A 16,240-nucleotide genomic window follows, 5' to 3' on the forward strand; every position below is an offset into this window, starting at 1 on the left:
TGTGGACAATATATGCATTTCTGGTTTGTTTCTGCTTTGTTTCTCATCAAAGGAGAACCACGCATACTCCCAGAGAACCGCAGGCTCCACTCTTTCCCATCTCACCCTCACCCTAACTCCATCTACTCCCTCAGCCCAAGATTACAATGGGCACACCACCTTTCCCATCCCATTCTGGGGGATGATGGGGAGCTGTGCTATGAAGAACAAGGCTATTCATGGGGAACATCAAATCAAAGTACAATATGATAAAAGACTCAACAAATCTCAGTTGGCTGATATTAAGATCTTAGGGTGGGAAAAGGAAAAATCCTTTTTCTCCAAAGGACATAATGAGACATTTAACAGATTTTTTTTTTAAAGGGCAAATGAACAAACAAAACACACCATTTGTGTCTCAAATGAAGTTGGTGAAGAATGCTGCCTTGGAGGAAGCAAATCATACTTGTTTCTCCCTAAATGGATCGCAGATATTCTTGGTTTTCAAAATTATCTAGAGTCCTGGAGGCTAAGATCAATAATGTTCCCTCTCACAAAGAAAGAAGATGGCCAGAGTGCAGCATAAATACCTTTGAGCATTTCCCACTTTGAAGGTAGGAGGAGACAGCTTAAGGCTGACAAATCTTTCCCAAGAAATGATGTTGCAATGAATGTGAGTTCTCCATTTACCTGGCACGCCAGGTAGAGCAGAAGACAACCCCAACCAGGAAGATTCCAGTTTCATACGTGAGGGACCCAAGTACAAAAAGGCCCTACTACTGCACTTCATGGGAGAGCAGTTCTGGTCTTCCGAAACAATGCTAACATGCGCATGAAGCAAGGTGCTTCCTACGAGAGAGTCAGGCCACAGTAGGGAATGAAGAGGGAAACAACATCACAACTTCAGGGTCCTCCCATTGTGCAGCCCAGGTCCCAAACAGAAAATCAGAGCCAACAAATCACAAAGATCAGCACTGAGACCCAGAAGTCATCAAGGTGAATAAGGCTTCTTTCCTCTTTTCCCAGGTGGGTTGTGTGTATGTCAGTTTTTCAATGTTAATGTATTCATTAAGGCTGCATCCACACTATTCAAATTATCTGGGTGGTTTGGAAACTCTCCAGATCCGTCTGAGACCACATCGCTCATCCAGATGTGTGCCATCTGCAGCACAGGTCCCAGGGCTGGACCAGAGTCAAAGCATCACAGTATATCCAATGTGTCCGTGGAGACATGACTGGAACCTGAGGAAGCCTGTGGACAGACCTGCCAGCCTAGTGGGGCTCTCAATACCCAGTCCACAACAAAGGGAATTTCAGTTAGAGACCTCCCCAGGAACAGATGCAGTCTTGAAAAACCTTTCGGGTTGTTATACATACATACATATATATAAATATATGGTTTGTATACATACATACATATATATAAACATATGGTTTGTATACATACATACATATATATGAATATATGGTTTTGATGGTTTTTTTTGAGACAGGGTCTCGCTCTATCCCCCGGGCTGGAGTGTAGTGGTGTAATCACAGCTCACTGCAGCCTCAACGTCCTGGGCCCAAGTGATCCTCCCACCTCAGCCTCCCAAAGTGCTGGGATTACAGGCGTGAGCCACCATACCAAGCCGGTTGTTATATTTTTGTAATCAGCACATGACAACAAAAATGTTTCTTACCTCTGTTTGTTCTGTAGACGCAAGTCTATCTGGAAACCCATTTCCCTGGAAACCCATGCAGGAGAGATCAAAAATGGTTTTCTTCAGGTGCTGGTTGTCTGTATACAGCTCCTTCACTAGCTGTATAAGGTCACTGACCTAGGAGGTAAGAACAGGGAAAAGGCTGTCTACCCAGCAAGAGACTTCAGCTTCCCAGGGCCGCAGCCCCAGACAGCCCTATCAAGCGACTCTTTGGCACCACAGTTACGGGGAATCAGGCTGATTCTAGCCCTCAGGATACCCTGTGCACAGTGACAAAAACACTGGCTTTAACATCTGGCATAACAGTATTTTAATCCCAGAGCCATCACTTCAAGGCAAAAAGATCCTGGGCAAACTGCACAGTCTAAGCCCCAGTTTCCTCATCTGTAGCGTTACTACGAGAACTGAACAGGATTGTGGTCACAGTGCACTAAAGTCCCTGGCACGGTCTAAGTGCTCAGTCAATGACAGCTAATACTATCTCTCTCTTGCACTTGAGACCCTCTGGAGGAAAAGTCTCCCAAGGCGAAAGTTTCTGAAACTGTATCAGAGTCTTACTTTTCACTAGTGACCTCCTCCTTTGTACACCTATCTGGCAATGCCAGTAATATTAACAGTTGTCAATTATGAAGCAATTTACAGCTACTAAAATACTCCTACAAGCTTTAGTCTATTATTCCTTGCAAAAATCCTGAGGAGGGGAACAGACTAGTGTGTCTCTCTCCATTTTACAATGAGGACATGAAATACAAAGAAATTTAACTGTCCAGAGTCCCACAGCTGGGGTGTCTGGAGAATTAAATGAGACAGAACAATGGCCGAAGTGCCTAACCATGTGCGAAAGAGCAGCTGCCTCTACACAGGCAGAGTTGGGCCTGGGTCTTGCGAGGCCACACACAGAAGGAACAAGCAGACACCACCTTGGTTTCCTGCAGGCTTCAAATCCCAATGGCCAGTAATTTTCCAAGGCTTCTTGATGGAAGCGATTATTAGCTCTTCAAATAACATGGAAATTCCCACCCTGAGTACACATAGTAGATATCCAATATATCAAAATATGAAAAAAATTGGATCGAATCCTCAAGGAGGTTCTAGTAGGAAGAACAAGACATTCTGATTTACTAAGTGCCAACCAAGTGAACTACCTCCTGGCCTTACCACAGCCCCAGTAGGCACTAGCAGCAGCTATTATCATCTCTATTTTCTTCATCTTTAAAAACTAACAGCTGCCTCCATACTCCTTGCCCTATTCCTCCCAAAATACCCAAATTTTTATTCTCCTTGCTATTTCTTAGTTCTGTGCCTTAAACAGGCTGTTTTCTCTTTCTCTGCTGAGAAAGTGGAGACCTGGGCAAACTCCGAATTCGTCCTTCGAAACCCACTTCAAGTCTCACTTCTGCTGAGAAGCCTCCCCTGATCAGGTGAGCTCACCCCCCCATCTCCCATACAGGCAATTAGCCTCTCCTCTGCTATTTCTACACCTTGTACAGCTGCCCATACAGCAACCTTGCACCTCATACTGCAATTACTTGTTTACATGCCTGTCTCTTCTATCAGAATGTAAATTATTCCCAGATAGAAACTGAATCTTAGTCACACATACATGATAATTTTATAATAAACTATGCGGTCTCAAACCTCCTATTTCTAAGAATGTTTTTCAGAACCTTGAAACACTAAACCACTCTAACCATGACACTGATCAACACATTGAAGAATCTTTCCAGTTTAAAAAAAGATTTATTGATCAAACCTGGAACGTTATTCATTCAAAATGCATCTATTATTAGTTCCTATATGTGTGCCAGGCAATGGGAAATCAGAAATAAGACATAATCACTAAGTTTAAGATGTTCACAGCCTAGCAAGGAAATATAGACAAATAACCAGATAATTATAGATCAGTAAAATAAGGACATCGATTTGGATTAGGTACAAAAAAAAGAGGTGAACAGCCTGACGGAAAAGTGGCTAACTCTAAACTGAGGGGCCAGAGAGCTTTTCCTCAAGGAGATCGAGCCTGGCTGGGTTCTCAGGCCTGGGGAGTTTATCAGACACGAGGGAAGGTACTCCAGTTAACGGACACAGGAGGGGCACACACAACAAGGCAGAGGGGACAGGAAGGAAGGAGAGAGGCCTTCAGAATCTTAACCTCTCATGAGGAACCCAAGATACAACAAACAATCTAACAAAAAGAAAAGAAAAGCACTAAAAATTAATAGGTCAATACCTTTTTCTTAAGTTCTTCTTGAGAAAAATGTTCCACTTGAAACCGATTGTTTTCTTCAAGGCAAATACTTAGATAAGATGTTTGATCACTATAAAGTGAAAATGATTCTTCTGCCCAAAAAAGAAAAAAAAAAGGTGGGGAGGGGGAGGAGAAAAAGAATATCAGAAACAGATCCTCCCAAGACTGACCCCAGTGCAATCCATCCAAAGCAATGTGAATGGGGGAGGTGGGGCGGAAGGGAGCATAGTACACAGAGGGGGCTTAAGGCACCACCTTTGGAGCAAAATTAATTTTCCCTTTCTCAACAGGCTGATATTTCAATGTATGGTTTCATCTTAGGCCGTAGGTTTTCACTGTGGCCAACTGTGAATTATAATTTGCATATCAAGTATTGTGCCTGGAGACCATTCTGAATGGCACAAGAAAATGGTGATTTCAGTTTAAATGAGGGACTGATTCTGTTTAGGGGAAAATGCAGAAAAATTAGATGTGACCCTCAAGGGTAGAACTCAAGGGAGATAAAAGTGTCTGATCATTTTTTTTTTTTTTTACTGGCCCCAGAACCCTCATGGGAAACAAGCACACTAAGTGCAGAAAGTGCCTGCTAGTGCTAAGCTAGAAGAATCTCTGGTCACCAATGTAAGGATCTGTTTCCTTTGCAGCAAAGGTCAATTCTAATAGGAAGGGGAGAAGTGGGGGGCGGGGGGAAGATGTGTGTATATGTGTACTCAGCAAGGCATATCCACAAACAGTATCTCATTTAACACACACGTGTAAGAGCTGATACATCTAAAATACAGTGCAGAATACTGGAAAGAGCTAGACTTAAAGGAAGATGCCCTGGCTGAAATCTGGGCACGTCAAACCCCAGCTGAGTCTTGGTTTCTTCATCTGTAAAATGAACTTAATACTTACTCTACCTAATGAGATGACTGTGAGGATCACAGGTGAAAAGTTAGGTGCCTAGCACTGTGCCTTGTACACAGCAGATGCTCAAGAGATGTCAAACCTACCACTGTTATTACCAATTTTTACCATATGTGTCAGGCACCGGGCTAGAGATACAGAAGGGAATCAGATACCAACCCAAACTTTAAAGGGCTTAAGTTCTACCAGGGGAGAGGGTCAAATCTTAATATTACTGTGATGAATACAGAAAACATAAGTCCCACAGGACCCTCATCTTGTAGCCCTCCCTTAATGCATATACAGCACTAAAAACAGTGCTTCAACCTGAAACAGCATCTCACCCATATATGTGTGCAGTCTTGGGCTCTCTGCAATAGGTGCTGTGGTAGGCAGTACTCAGATGTTCCGGGCAGTGAGGGCTGCAATTCCCCAAAAAAGGGGATTGCAAGTGCCCAGGGATATTTGGAACTAGAAGTATCAAATGATGCAGAAAACAGTAGAGGCAGCAAGGAAGCAATCCTGCACCTGACCTTCTGCAGAATTTAGTACAACTTACTGGGCTCTTCTACTAGGAAGGCTAACATCAGCATGGTCACCACAAAAAGGATCTCCAAACGAAACCCCGTGTATGCTTCATCCCTTAACAAATATTTAGGACTCTCCTGAAGTTCAGTCCATGCCCTCCAAGTGGAAAAACCAAAGAGAAGCACATAGAATAAAGTGTGTACCTTCCCGCCTCCGAATTTCGCTGATCTGCTCCTCCAAGGTCTTCCGCAAATTCTGATATGAAAGCACATCCTGCTCCAGTTGCTTCCGCAGGGCAAAAATCTTGTTTAACTCAGCCTGCAGGTTGTTGATACTTGGTAAAACAAGACACCAGAAGTTTTAAAACAGACCTATTTGTACTTTTAGATGCAAAGCCCAGAAAGCCTTCCTGTGATTTTTATGTCATTTGTGTTTTTTTCTGGTTATAAAAGTATATACAGGTTTACTATAGAGAATTTTAAATACAACAGTATAAAGAAAACAAAAATTATCATGCTCCTACTACCAACTAACACACGGCAGACTGTATTTCCTTCCAATCTTTTCCCCTATGCGTAATTTACATGGCTGAAATAATACTAGACATACAATGCTGATATGCATTCCTCACTTCATAATTCCCTATATTTTAGAAATTATTTGCAAAATCATTTTTAATGACTATATAATATTAAACCAGGTGAATGTCCCACCACTTACTTTAACTCATCCCCTATTAGTGGATACTTGGGTCATTTCCAAATTTTTGCTATAGGCGTTAACTAGGTGAAAATAACGTAATTCTCCATTCCAGAATGTGTCTCTGTTCTGAACAATGCCCCAAGAGGGCTTGGGTATAGAAAGGGAGGCTCCCCAGGGCCTGAGTGTCACTTGGGCACCCGGGCTTCAGAAGAAAGGGAGACAGAGGACTCCTGCTGTGTTACTCCTCAAAAAAGTCATACTGGAAGTTAAGGGTGGGGGACAGGTGGGAAGAGAAAAAAATAAAGGAAGAGTGAGCCAACAATAAGAAGGAGAAAAGGACTAATCTATTAGGGGCCAAAAAAACTCCACTGTGGTGGGTGAACCACTCAGAAACGCATAGTATGAGTGGATTTTTATTCTGGGAGAGGAGATGTAGTGCTAAGCTGTACAGAGAGCTTGCATGGACTAGAAGCCCAAAACCCAGAGGAGACCAAGAAAATGCACACCTCCCAGAATGTGCATTAATCTTGGGGAAACCTGTCCAATAGAACTTTCTCCAGTGATGGAAATGTTCTATATCTTCACTGTCAACTACAGTAGCCACTAGCTAAATGTGTCTATTGAGCACTTGAAATGTAGCTAATGTACCAAGGAACTGAACGTTTAATTTTGTTAAATTTACAGTAAGTTTAAATGTGAACAGCCACATGGCTAGTGGCTACTGAACTGGACAGTGCAGATCCGTAAGAACAGCTTTGGACTCCTACTGATGTGGAAATGGCAGAGATCAGAACCAGTTAAATCCAGCTCTCAGAAGAACATGGAGACCCCAGCTGACATCTGAATGGCATAAATAATGCTTCACTGTCCATCTCTGTGCTTAAAGCCTTGTTTGACATCCAGGTTATTTTCTTAAGAAAGATTCCCAGCAATGCAATTACTGGGTCAAAGTATATGAACATCTTTAAGACTACTGAAACACATTAACAAATCAGAAAGCCTTCTTTTTTAGATACCAAGAGATCTATCATTCTCCATCTAGCATCTATGGTTCCCTAAAAATGTCCATCAATGCCATGAAATTATCTGCAAAAAATGAATGAATTTGTGGATTTTTCTAGGGAGAGGGCCTATAAGCTTTCATCAGATTTTTCAAAAGGGATCAATAGCCCCCGAATGGTTAGAGGCAATTACTCCAAATATGTGTGCCAGACTCCTCAAAGAAGCCCCGCTTCTCCTTCAGAGACTTCCAGCTCCATCCATCGGACTGCACACATAAATCAACACACATTGGAAGGAAAATAAACCATTATGTCTAATCTTCTATGCTTGCTGCTTTGAGGACAGTTCATTGTGAAGCAGTCTTCACGCAAGGGAAAGGGCCCTACTAGCAACTTGTATCTAGTTCCATTTTAAGACAATCATAATGATCAATTTGTAAGGCTGATGAAAAACCTCACAGAGGTGTCACAGCACAGCACTCGCTTGGATGCAGTCATGCTGCAGAGGCATTTAACCAGGGAGAAAAAAAGAGACTGTTTTAGAGAAGCTCCTGCGATTAGGGCTGGGGAAAGCTAACTGCTTCACTCCCTCTTCCATTTTCTGACAGGGTGAAAAGTACACAGCTGCTGCTCCTGTGTCTGTCATTTATGTTTTCCCAACTTGAGAATCTTTTCAAGGTGTGAGGAGTTGGGAGAACAAAAGGTGCTTCACTCAGAAAAAAACAAAAACCTTCCTCTTCCTGGAACTGGGGCAGGGCAGACAGGAGCAGAAACAAGGAGTTAGAGAGATCGAAGCTCAAAATAGCACGCCACCACTACTGGGCAAGCCAGTTCAACTAACTGAGTCCTGATTTCCTCACGCAAAATGGGAATAATAATACCTTTGCTTTGCGATTGTGTTGAGGAATAAATGAGATATTACATGGGAAAGACGTTAGGACAGGGGCTAACACATATGAGATGCTCAACAAACATCATTTCCTTCCTTCCACATACTCTAACAACTCCCATACAGAAGACAATATTTATGAGCCAAGATTGCTGATTTTCATGAGTTACAGCAATGATAATCATCTGGAGATGATTTTGCCCCCACCCGCCAGGGGACATTTGGCCATGTCTGGAGACATTTTTGGTTGTTACAACTGCCATGGGAGGATCAGGTGTGCCGACCCTCCCATGGTAGAGGCCGGGGATTGTTAAACATCTTACAAAGCACAGGACATGCCCTCATGACAAAAAAATTATCCAGCCTCAAAGCCTCATACTGCTGAGGCTGAGAAATCCTGAGTTACAGGGAAACTGTGCTAGTCCTCAAGATGGGGAGTGTATCAGCAAGAACCTGGGTTGGGAGCCAAGACGACCTAAGCACTGATAATCCTTCACTGCGGAACACCGGGTGTCTTAGAATGCACATTTCCACTTCTGTAATTTGGGGATCATCCACCAACTTCTAAGTGCTGCTGTGAAGAATAAATAGTAAAAGTGAAAGGATCAGCCACATTCTTGCTCACAATGAGTTTCCTCCCTTCTTGACTTCCCTTTCCAGTTTTAATCACAGTACATCATCTGTCTTCAGGGTCATCCACCTTTCCTGTCAATTTCCAGAGTGAACAGTGCTGGAGTTACAGAAGAGAGCTCTACCTTCCTTAGCCCACATTCTGCCCTCTGGATATGCCAAGGTCTGAGGATTCAAAAACCTCCTGTAAACTAAGTTTATGCATGATGAAATATTGAGACATATGTAAGCTTTTCATGCTGTCATTATTCTTAAGAAATCTTACCATTTACTGAGTGCTTACTACATGCCAGGAAGTATTAGGTCTTTACACAGTGTCCTCTCTAGTTTCAACACAACCCTGTAAAGCAGGTAGACATCTAAGTAGGTAGGTAAGTAGGCAGACCAGCCAATCTCAATTTCACAAACACACTGAGGCTCAGGGTGAGAAATTACTTACCCAAGAGCTCAGGGCTGCTGAGTGGCAGAGCTGAGATGTGGACCTAGGTCTGTCTCCCACTGAATGTATTACAAGTCTGAAGATGAACAGGAAGCCTTTTAAGAAACCTTGTTAGTCCCGGTTAGTCTTTGTTAGTCCGAGTTAGCCCTGACCCGCCTCAGTCCCATCCAAGTTTTCATTCATTAAGAAAGAGCCTGTGAAACTTGGGAGCCCCTCATGAAGCTGAGAAGACTCAGGAGCAACCATATCCACCCACAAGGCCTCTCAGTACCCAGAATCAACCTGGCTCCTACCCAGAGAAGCTGCGCAATTGAAATGAAATGTGTCCACTCCCTCTGTGAGTTTCCACACGACTCAACCCCCAGTGCCCCCCACTGCTCGCTCCCACCGCCCACCTCCCCCAACACCACTTGCCAAGTGAAAATGACCAGCAGCTGAGGTTTCTTGAAAAAACTCACTTTCAGAGAGTGACGCCTACTCCCAGAATTTCAGCAGCATGTTTTCATTTTCCCTAAACTCATTTCCTATGAAAAAATCTGGAAATTATCTCATAATTTAGAAGATCAACATGGCAGGGAGGGGCATTCCTGCACAGAACATTTCCCAAATGCCTACTCTGTACCAGGCCCTGGGGAGCAGAGACAGTAAGGTGGGACCCCTGCCCTGAGGGAGCTCCAACACAGGTGAGGAGGCAGAGCAGGCACAGACGGCTACAGAAGGTGACCTCCCCACGCAGGGCAGAAACACAGAGAGGCAACTGTTTTGGGGATTAGCTGGGCTGCCTGACAAATGTAACATTCAAGCTAAATTCTAAAGGACTGGGAGGAGACAAAGTAGGGGAAAGGTTGGGAATAGAAGGGTAGGAAACACAGGTGAAGGTACAGGCAGGAACACACAGCCCAGGGAACGATAAAGAGCTCACTATGGTAAGAGCAGAGGACATATGAGAGGGAGAAATGAGGGGTGATTCTTTTTTAACTTTTCATTATAGAAAATTTTAGACATATACAAAAGGAAAAAAAAAAAACTACTGTAATGAACCTCTCCCCCATCTACACATACCCCAGCCCCAACAATCAGAGAGCCAGGGCCAATCTTGTTCTTTTGATATTCCCACCCACGTCCTCAGCTTCTGCACTGTTTGGAAATGAATCCCAGACATCATATCCTTTCAGCTGTACCCATCCCACTGTGTAGAGAGAGGTGACCAACACTTGTAATCCCAGCACTTTGGGAGGCGGAGGTGGGTGGATCCTGAGGTCAGGAGATCAAGACCATCCTGGCTAACATGGTGAAACACCATCTCTACTAAAAATGCAAAAAATTAGCCGGGCGTGGTGGTATGTGCCTGTAGTCCCAACTACTTGGGAGGCTGAGGCAGGAGAATCGCTTGAACCCGGGAGGCGGAGGTTGCAGTGAGCCGAGATCCTGCCACTGCACTCCAGCCTGGGCAACAGAGCAAGACTCCATCTCAAAAAAAAAAAAAAAAAGGACTTCTCAATTCTGAGAAGTCCCTGAGGCCAACCCTGTGTGTACAGACACATGGACAGAGGCCCAGAGCAGCACTTGCCTGTGGACACAGAGCTAGAAAGTGGGAGAGTCAGGGCTAGAACAAGGCCTCTATCCTAGAGTTGGCTCTCCCCACCACACCTTGCTGGCAGCAACTCATTTCAGCAATTCTGCAGAGATAGGGAGACTTGCTTGAGTCCCAGGGTTCTGTCACTTGACATCTGTGTGACTTTGAGCAAGTCACTTACCCTATCTTAGTTTTCATGACCTTATAGAAAACACAGGGATAGCATTATTATTACTTCACAGAAAGGCTGTGAGGATCATATGAGATAATACACATAGAAGCACTTTCTAAATATATAATAAAGTATTTTTAAAACCTGAGTAATCATGATTTTAAAACCTGAGTAATCAATTTTGTTGCCAAAAATCAGACAATTCTTGATAGAAAACAGGTATATGTGACTATCAAATAGGGCAGTCGCCACCCAAGCTTTATAAGCTCCATAAGCAAACTGGCAGGGCTTTGCTGCCTTAGAGATCAGCACTGATTGAAAGGGTGTGTGCGTGTATGCGCGTGCATGTGTGTGTGTTCGCATTCACATGTGTGATGTCCAGACAGAAACGCTTACCTGTCTGATTCCTGCAGAGATTTGACCAGATGGGTATAGATGTCCTGCTCTTTCTTTAAGACCTGAATCAGCTCTTCATAGTCTGATGATTGTTTCTTTTCCTGGAAATGACAATGGGCATTTGACATTAAGGAAAGAATTTTGAAAGAGTACATCCTTATATTATGCAAACATATGTAGCTAGTCCCAGTTTTTAAAATCAAACGAAGGTGAGAGAGGCCCTGTGCCTGGCTCTGGCTCAGGCCACAGTCAGAGAGCACCACCTTCAGGAGGAGTGGGGAATGACTGCCCATCACTCATCCCAGAACAAAGCAGAGAGCTGAGCTTCCAATACTGCTTCCAACAGCTGCTAGGAAGACGCACCAGCTATGGGATTAGCCCATCATGAGTCTGTCATCCCTCAGAGCTGCTGTTCATCGTTTTTAAAACACTACAAAAAAAATATCTTTCCATATTCACTGTTGCTCCAAAGAAGAGAAATTCACAAACCAAAACCTGGCAAGTACTGGGGACTAGGGATTTAGTTACAGTCAAGTAGAAGAGGTCAACTGAGGTATTCTTGGGAGGCATCCAGAACACAGTGATGATGAAGAAATCTGAGTTGGATCTCTGCCACTTACTGGAGGTATGATCTTGGGTAAGTAGCTTAACAAAACTCTATGAGCTTCAGTCTCCTCATTTATGAAATGTGGATGTCATTTTATGAATTCACATTCACAAATGTGAAATTTTTTAATGTTCAAAATTTGGTTCTGCCACCTACCAGTTCTGAGACTCTGGGAAGTTACTTACTAGGAGCCTTGGTATTCTCACCTGTAAAACTGGTGGACAATTACCACTGCCTTATGGAGTTACAGAGCAGATGAAAGATAAATTGCATACTGTAAGGAACCAGGGATACCTGGAGAAATGGCTGATTCCCGTATTAGGACAAGGAAAATCAGGAACAATAAAAGATATGTGTATAGCATTTTATTGTGCCAAAAAATGAGGAAGTGCTTATAGAACAGTGGTTGCCAGGGGCTGGAGGGATGAGGATATGGGAGATGTTGGTGAAAGGGAACAAAGTTTTAGTTACGCAAGATGAATAAATTCCAGAGATGTAATATACAGCATGATGACTATATGTAACAATACCCTGGCCAGGCACAGCGGCTCACACCTATAATCCCAGCTCTGTGGGAGGCCAAGGCGGGAAAATCACTTGAGGCCCGGAGTTCAAGACCAGCCTGGGCAACATAGTGAGACCCCCGCCTCTACAAAAAAGTAAAAGATAAAAACATTCGCTGGATATGGTGGCATGCACCTATAGTCCCAGCTATTTGGGAGGCTAAGACAGGAGGATCCCTTGAGCCCAGAAGTTTGAGACTGCAATGAGCTAGGATCATACCACTGCACTGAAGCCTGGGCAACAGAGCAAGACCCTGAAATAACAAACAAACAAACAAAAAATACTGTATTTTACACTTGAAATGTGCCAGGAGGGTAGATTTTAGGTTTTTTCATCACACAAAAAAAGGTAACAATGTGAGATGATCGATATGCCAATTAATTTGATTATGGTGATCATTTCACAATGTATATATATATCCAAATATCTAGTGTACCTTAAATACATGCAATTTTAATTTGTCAATTATAACTCAAAGCTGAAAAAATTTTTAAAGAAATGCTTAAATAATGATGGAATGTTGTCAAAAGGACACACAGACCCAGTTTGGAAAGGCTCCCACAAGCCAAATCTGGGATGATTTGAGCATTGAAATAATGAGTAATGGTTTATAACCCACTGATAATAACTGATAGTAACAGATTATAACCCACCAAATAAAACAGGAATTCATAAATCCATATTGATATGAATAGGAGGGAAAAAGAGTAGGTTTTTCTTTATAGAAAAATGATGATGACTAATAAATGTAAAAAGAATAATGGAATTAGAAAAATCACCCTTCGCCAACCATCACAGTAATAAATAATTCAGCCAAGAAACACAAAAGGATGCTAAAACTAGTAGGTAAAAGTCAAGATGTTTACATAGACTCAAAACACCTCCCCCAAAATACTTATTAAATACAAAGGGAAAAAAGCATAACTAGACAGTCAAGACACCTGGCAGACACTATCTTGATAAAGTTATCAAAGTTAGCATGGCCAGTAATGGGGCAAATCCAACTGTGTACCATCAGACAGGACACAATGAGAAGAACATAGCATCGCTACTGTGATATTCCTGCCAAAGATGCATAAACTGAATCTAATCAGCAAGAAAACACCAGACAAACAACCCAAACTGAAGGGACATTCTATGGTATAACTGGCCCAGGCACTTCAAAAGTGTCAAGGTTATGAAAGTCAAGGAAAGATTTTAGAACTGTTCCAAACTAAAGACTAAAGAATCAAGACTATTAAATGCAAGGCATGATCCTGAATAGGATCCTTTCACTACAAAGGGTGTTATTGAGACAACTGATGAAATTCAAATGAGTCTGAGGATTAGAAGGTAGCAATGAAGGAAATCAGTCCAGGCTAATTTCCTGGTTGTAGTGGCTGGGCTGAGGTTATACAGGAGAATGTTCCTGTTTACAAGAAATATACACTAGCACATTCAGAGGGGACAAGGCTTCACATTGGCAACTTTCTCTCAAAAGGCTCAGAAAAAAATACAATCCTTTATTTTTGTATTTTTCTACAAATTTAAAACTATTTCAAAATAAGAAAAAATGTTAAAATAAAGTTAATGCATACAGAATATCCAGCATGATGCCTAGCACCAACTAAATGCTCTCTAAATGCTGGAGGCGGATGTTCAGTCCGTCAAGAAATTGGGGCTGCAAACAGCCTTTGTAGTTTATATTGACTTGTGTTTTCTCCTAAAGCTAAGACATACCACCTACGACAGGGGTTTTCAACTTGATTAAAATTTACAGGCTGTAGGAATATGAGCAAGGGAAAAAAATTACATCCCTATTTCCACTAACCTCTAACTGAAATTTAGCATTACCTTCAATTATGAATTGAAGGAATACTGCTATTGCTACAAACCATAGTAATACTAGTAGTATTACCTTGACTTTGTCATCAAAAGAAATAGTTATTTTGTATATGTTGCAGATATCTCAAAATATTCATTCTTATCACTACTTCATAGCTACGGCAGTTACTTATACTCACCACCATATCTTACTATTTAACATATTAATAAAGAAGCATCATTTCCATAGCATAATTTTTTTATATTTTGATAACCTAATTTCAAAATATTTGGTTTCCTTTAGTATCCTACACATATATTGTATGCATTTAAACATTTTTTCAAGATAGGGGTCTCTGGCTTCAGTAGATTGCCAAAAGGATGCAGAGGGCAAGAAAGGTGAAGAAGCCCTGATCCAGGAGAATACTGTTGTGCTTCCAATCCTGACAAAACAAGGCCAAGGCACCACCTGCCAATTAAAGCTTTTAAATGCTAAACCACCAGTCTGGTCATGATAAGTTAGTCATCCAGACTGCTGGAAATGTCAGGCCCTTTTGTAAATCATGCCACATGTCACTGGCACAAGGAGTTCCCAAATGCCTTTTGTACACAACAACAGTATCATGTGGGATTCTCTCAGCTCCCACCTGCACACAACCACGTGTGCAGCCAGAGGACCTCAGAGAAGAGTGGGGAGGATTTAAAGAGGACATGAAAACCAAGGAGGCTCTCCAGGGCCAGTGTGTCAGCCACCATGCTAAGTGCTTTCCAGGCATTTTCTCATTTAATCTTCACAATGACCCAATGTGCTTACGTGTTACTACACTCCCCATTTTAGAGATGAGGAAACTGTGACACACAAGGCTGTTCATGGTCAAGGTCAGGATGGTGAGGCCAGGTGTGGGCTTCAAGGCCCATGCTCTTCAGCCCACCCATCACTGCCCCATAATAGATGCCTTAAATATAATGCATCTGGGTGCTTGGCAAGGGTAACATCATCACTGTCAGCCACATAAAGGTCAGCCAAATAAAATAAGAAAAGCCAGTGACAAAATAAGAAAATCTATTGTTTCTTGAGCACCTAACATGAGAGGCAGTGATGATTAAGAGTGTGTGACTTTATGAACCATGTGACCTTGAACAAGTTACTCAACTTCTCTGTATGTCAATATTGTTTTCTTTTTTTTTTTTTTCTTTTTTTTTTTTTGAGATGGAGTCTCTCTCTGTCTCCCAGGCTAGAGTGCAGTGACGCACTCTCTGCTCAATGCAACCTCCACCTCCCAGGTTCAAGCAATTCTCCTGCCTTAGCCTCCCAAGTAGTTGGGACCACAGGCGCACACCGCCACACTCGGCTAATTTTTTGTATTTTAGTAGAGACGGGGTTTCACCGTGTTGCCCAGGATGGTTGCGAACTCCTGAGCTCAGGCAATCCGCCCACCTGGGCCTCCCAAAGTGCTGGGATTACAGGCGTGAGCCACCGTGCCGGGCCTGTATGTCAATATTCTTACCTCTAAGTAGTGGTAGTAATTCTACATATGTCCTGGAGCGTTAAAGAGATTAAATGAGTTAATCCAGACAAAGTTCTCAGAATGATGCCCGGCTTGAGGCAAACACTTGATATATGTCAGCTGTTACTATTATTCTTATGCTCCAAGTGCTATACTAGCTACCAACATATCATCTCTAGTTGCCACAGCATTCCAGGGAACTTCCCATTTTTCAGATGATGAAACTGACTCTCTGAGAGCAGAAGTAACTTGTTTGAGTCCACTAAGCTAGTAACTGCTACAGTCAGAATTTGTGCTTAAGTATGTAACTTCAAAGCCAACCAAGAAAGGTTGGGGAAAAAAAACAATAAATATGGATTTCTGATGGATGGCACAGAGACTCCAGGAATGTATGTATGTGGGACCCAGTATCTTAACAGGACCTCTGCAGGCTGGCTCTTAGTCCTAGAGGAGGACAGCCCACTGCCTGCCACACCAGGGCCTGGATATCAGTTCAGGCTCTTTTCTTCTTTCTGGCAGCTATTCCAAAGATTCCTCGGAATTTTCAGGCCACCATTCTCCTCAGCTCCTGCCCTCCTCCCTTCCTCCTACCCTTCCAACTCAGTGG

The 16,240-nt window shown here is 42.7% G+C and overlaps 1 protein-coding gene across 18 annotated transcripts in view; it reads right to left on the minus strand.

Annotated features, from left to right (window-relative positions):
• CDK5RAP2 (CDK5 regulatory subunit associated protein 2) overlaps positions 1–16,240 on the minus strand; it is a 191,293-nt gene that overhangs the window by 77,324 nt on the left and 97,729 nt on the right. For 12 of the 18 annotated variants that reach the window (NR_073558.2, NR_073556.2, NR_073555.2 and 9 more), the window contains 4 exons: positions 11,152–11,252; positions 5,550–5,680; positions 3,913–4,022; positions 1,662–1,799 (listed from right to left, as the gene is read on the minus strand). Coding sequence is in view for 13 of the 18 variants with exons in the window: in XM_017014923.2 (XP_016870412.1) it covers positions 1,662–1,799; positions 3,913–4,022; positions 5,550–5,680; positions 11,152–11,252 (480 nt within the window). In the remaining 5 variants the exon portion in view is untranslated. The remainder of the gene's footprint in view (positions 1–1,661; positions 1,800–3,912; positions 4,023–5,549; positions 5,681–11,151; positions 11,253–16,240) is intronic. The other 6 variants (NR_073554.2, NM_001272039.2, XM_047423589.1 and 3 more) reach the window with 1 other exon arrangement.

Source organism: Homo sapiens, chromosome 9 (assembly GCF_000001405.40).
Source record: "Homo sapiens chromosome 9, GRCh38.p14 Primary Assembly".
Taxonomy (NCBI): Eukaryota; Metazoa; Chordata; class Mammalia; order Primates; family Hominidae; genus Homo; species Homo sapiens.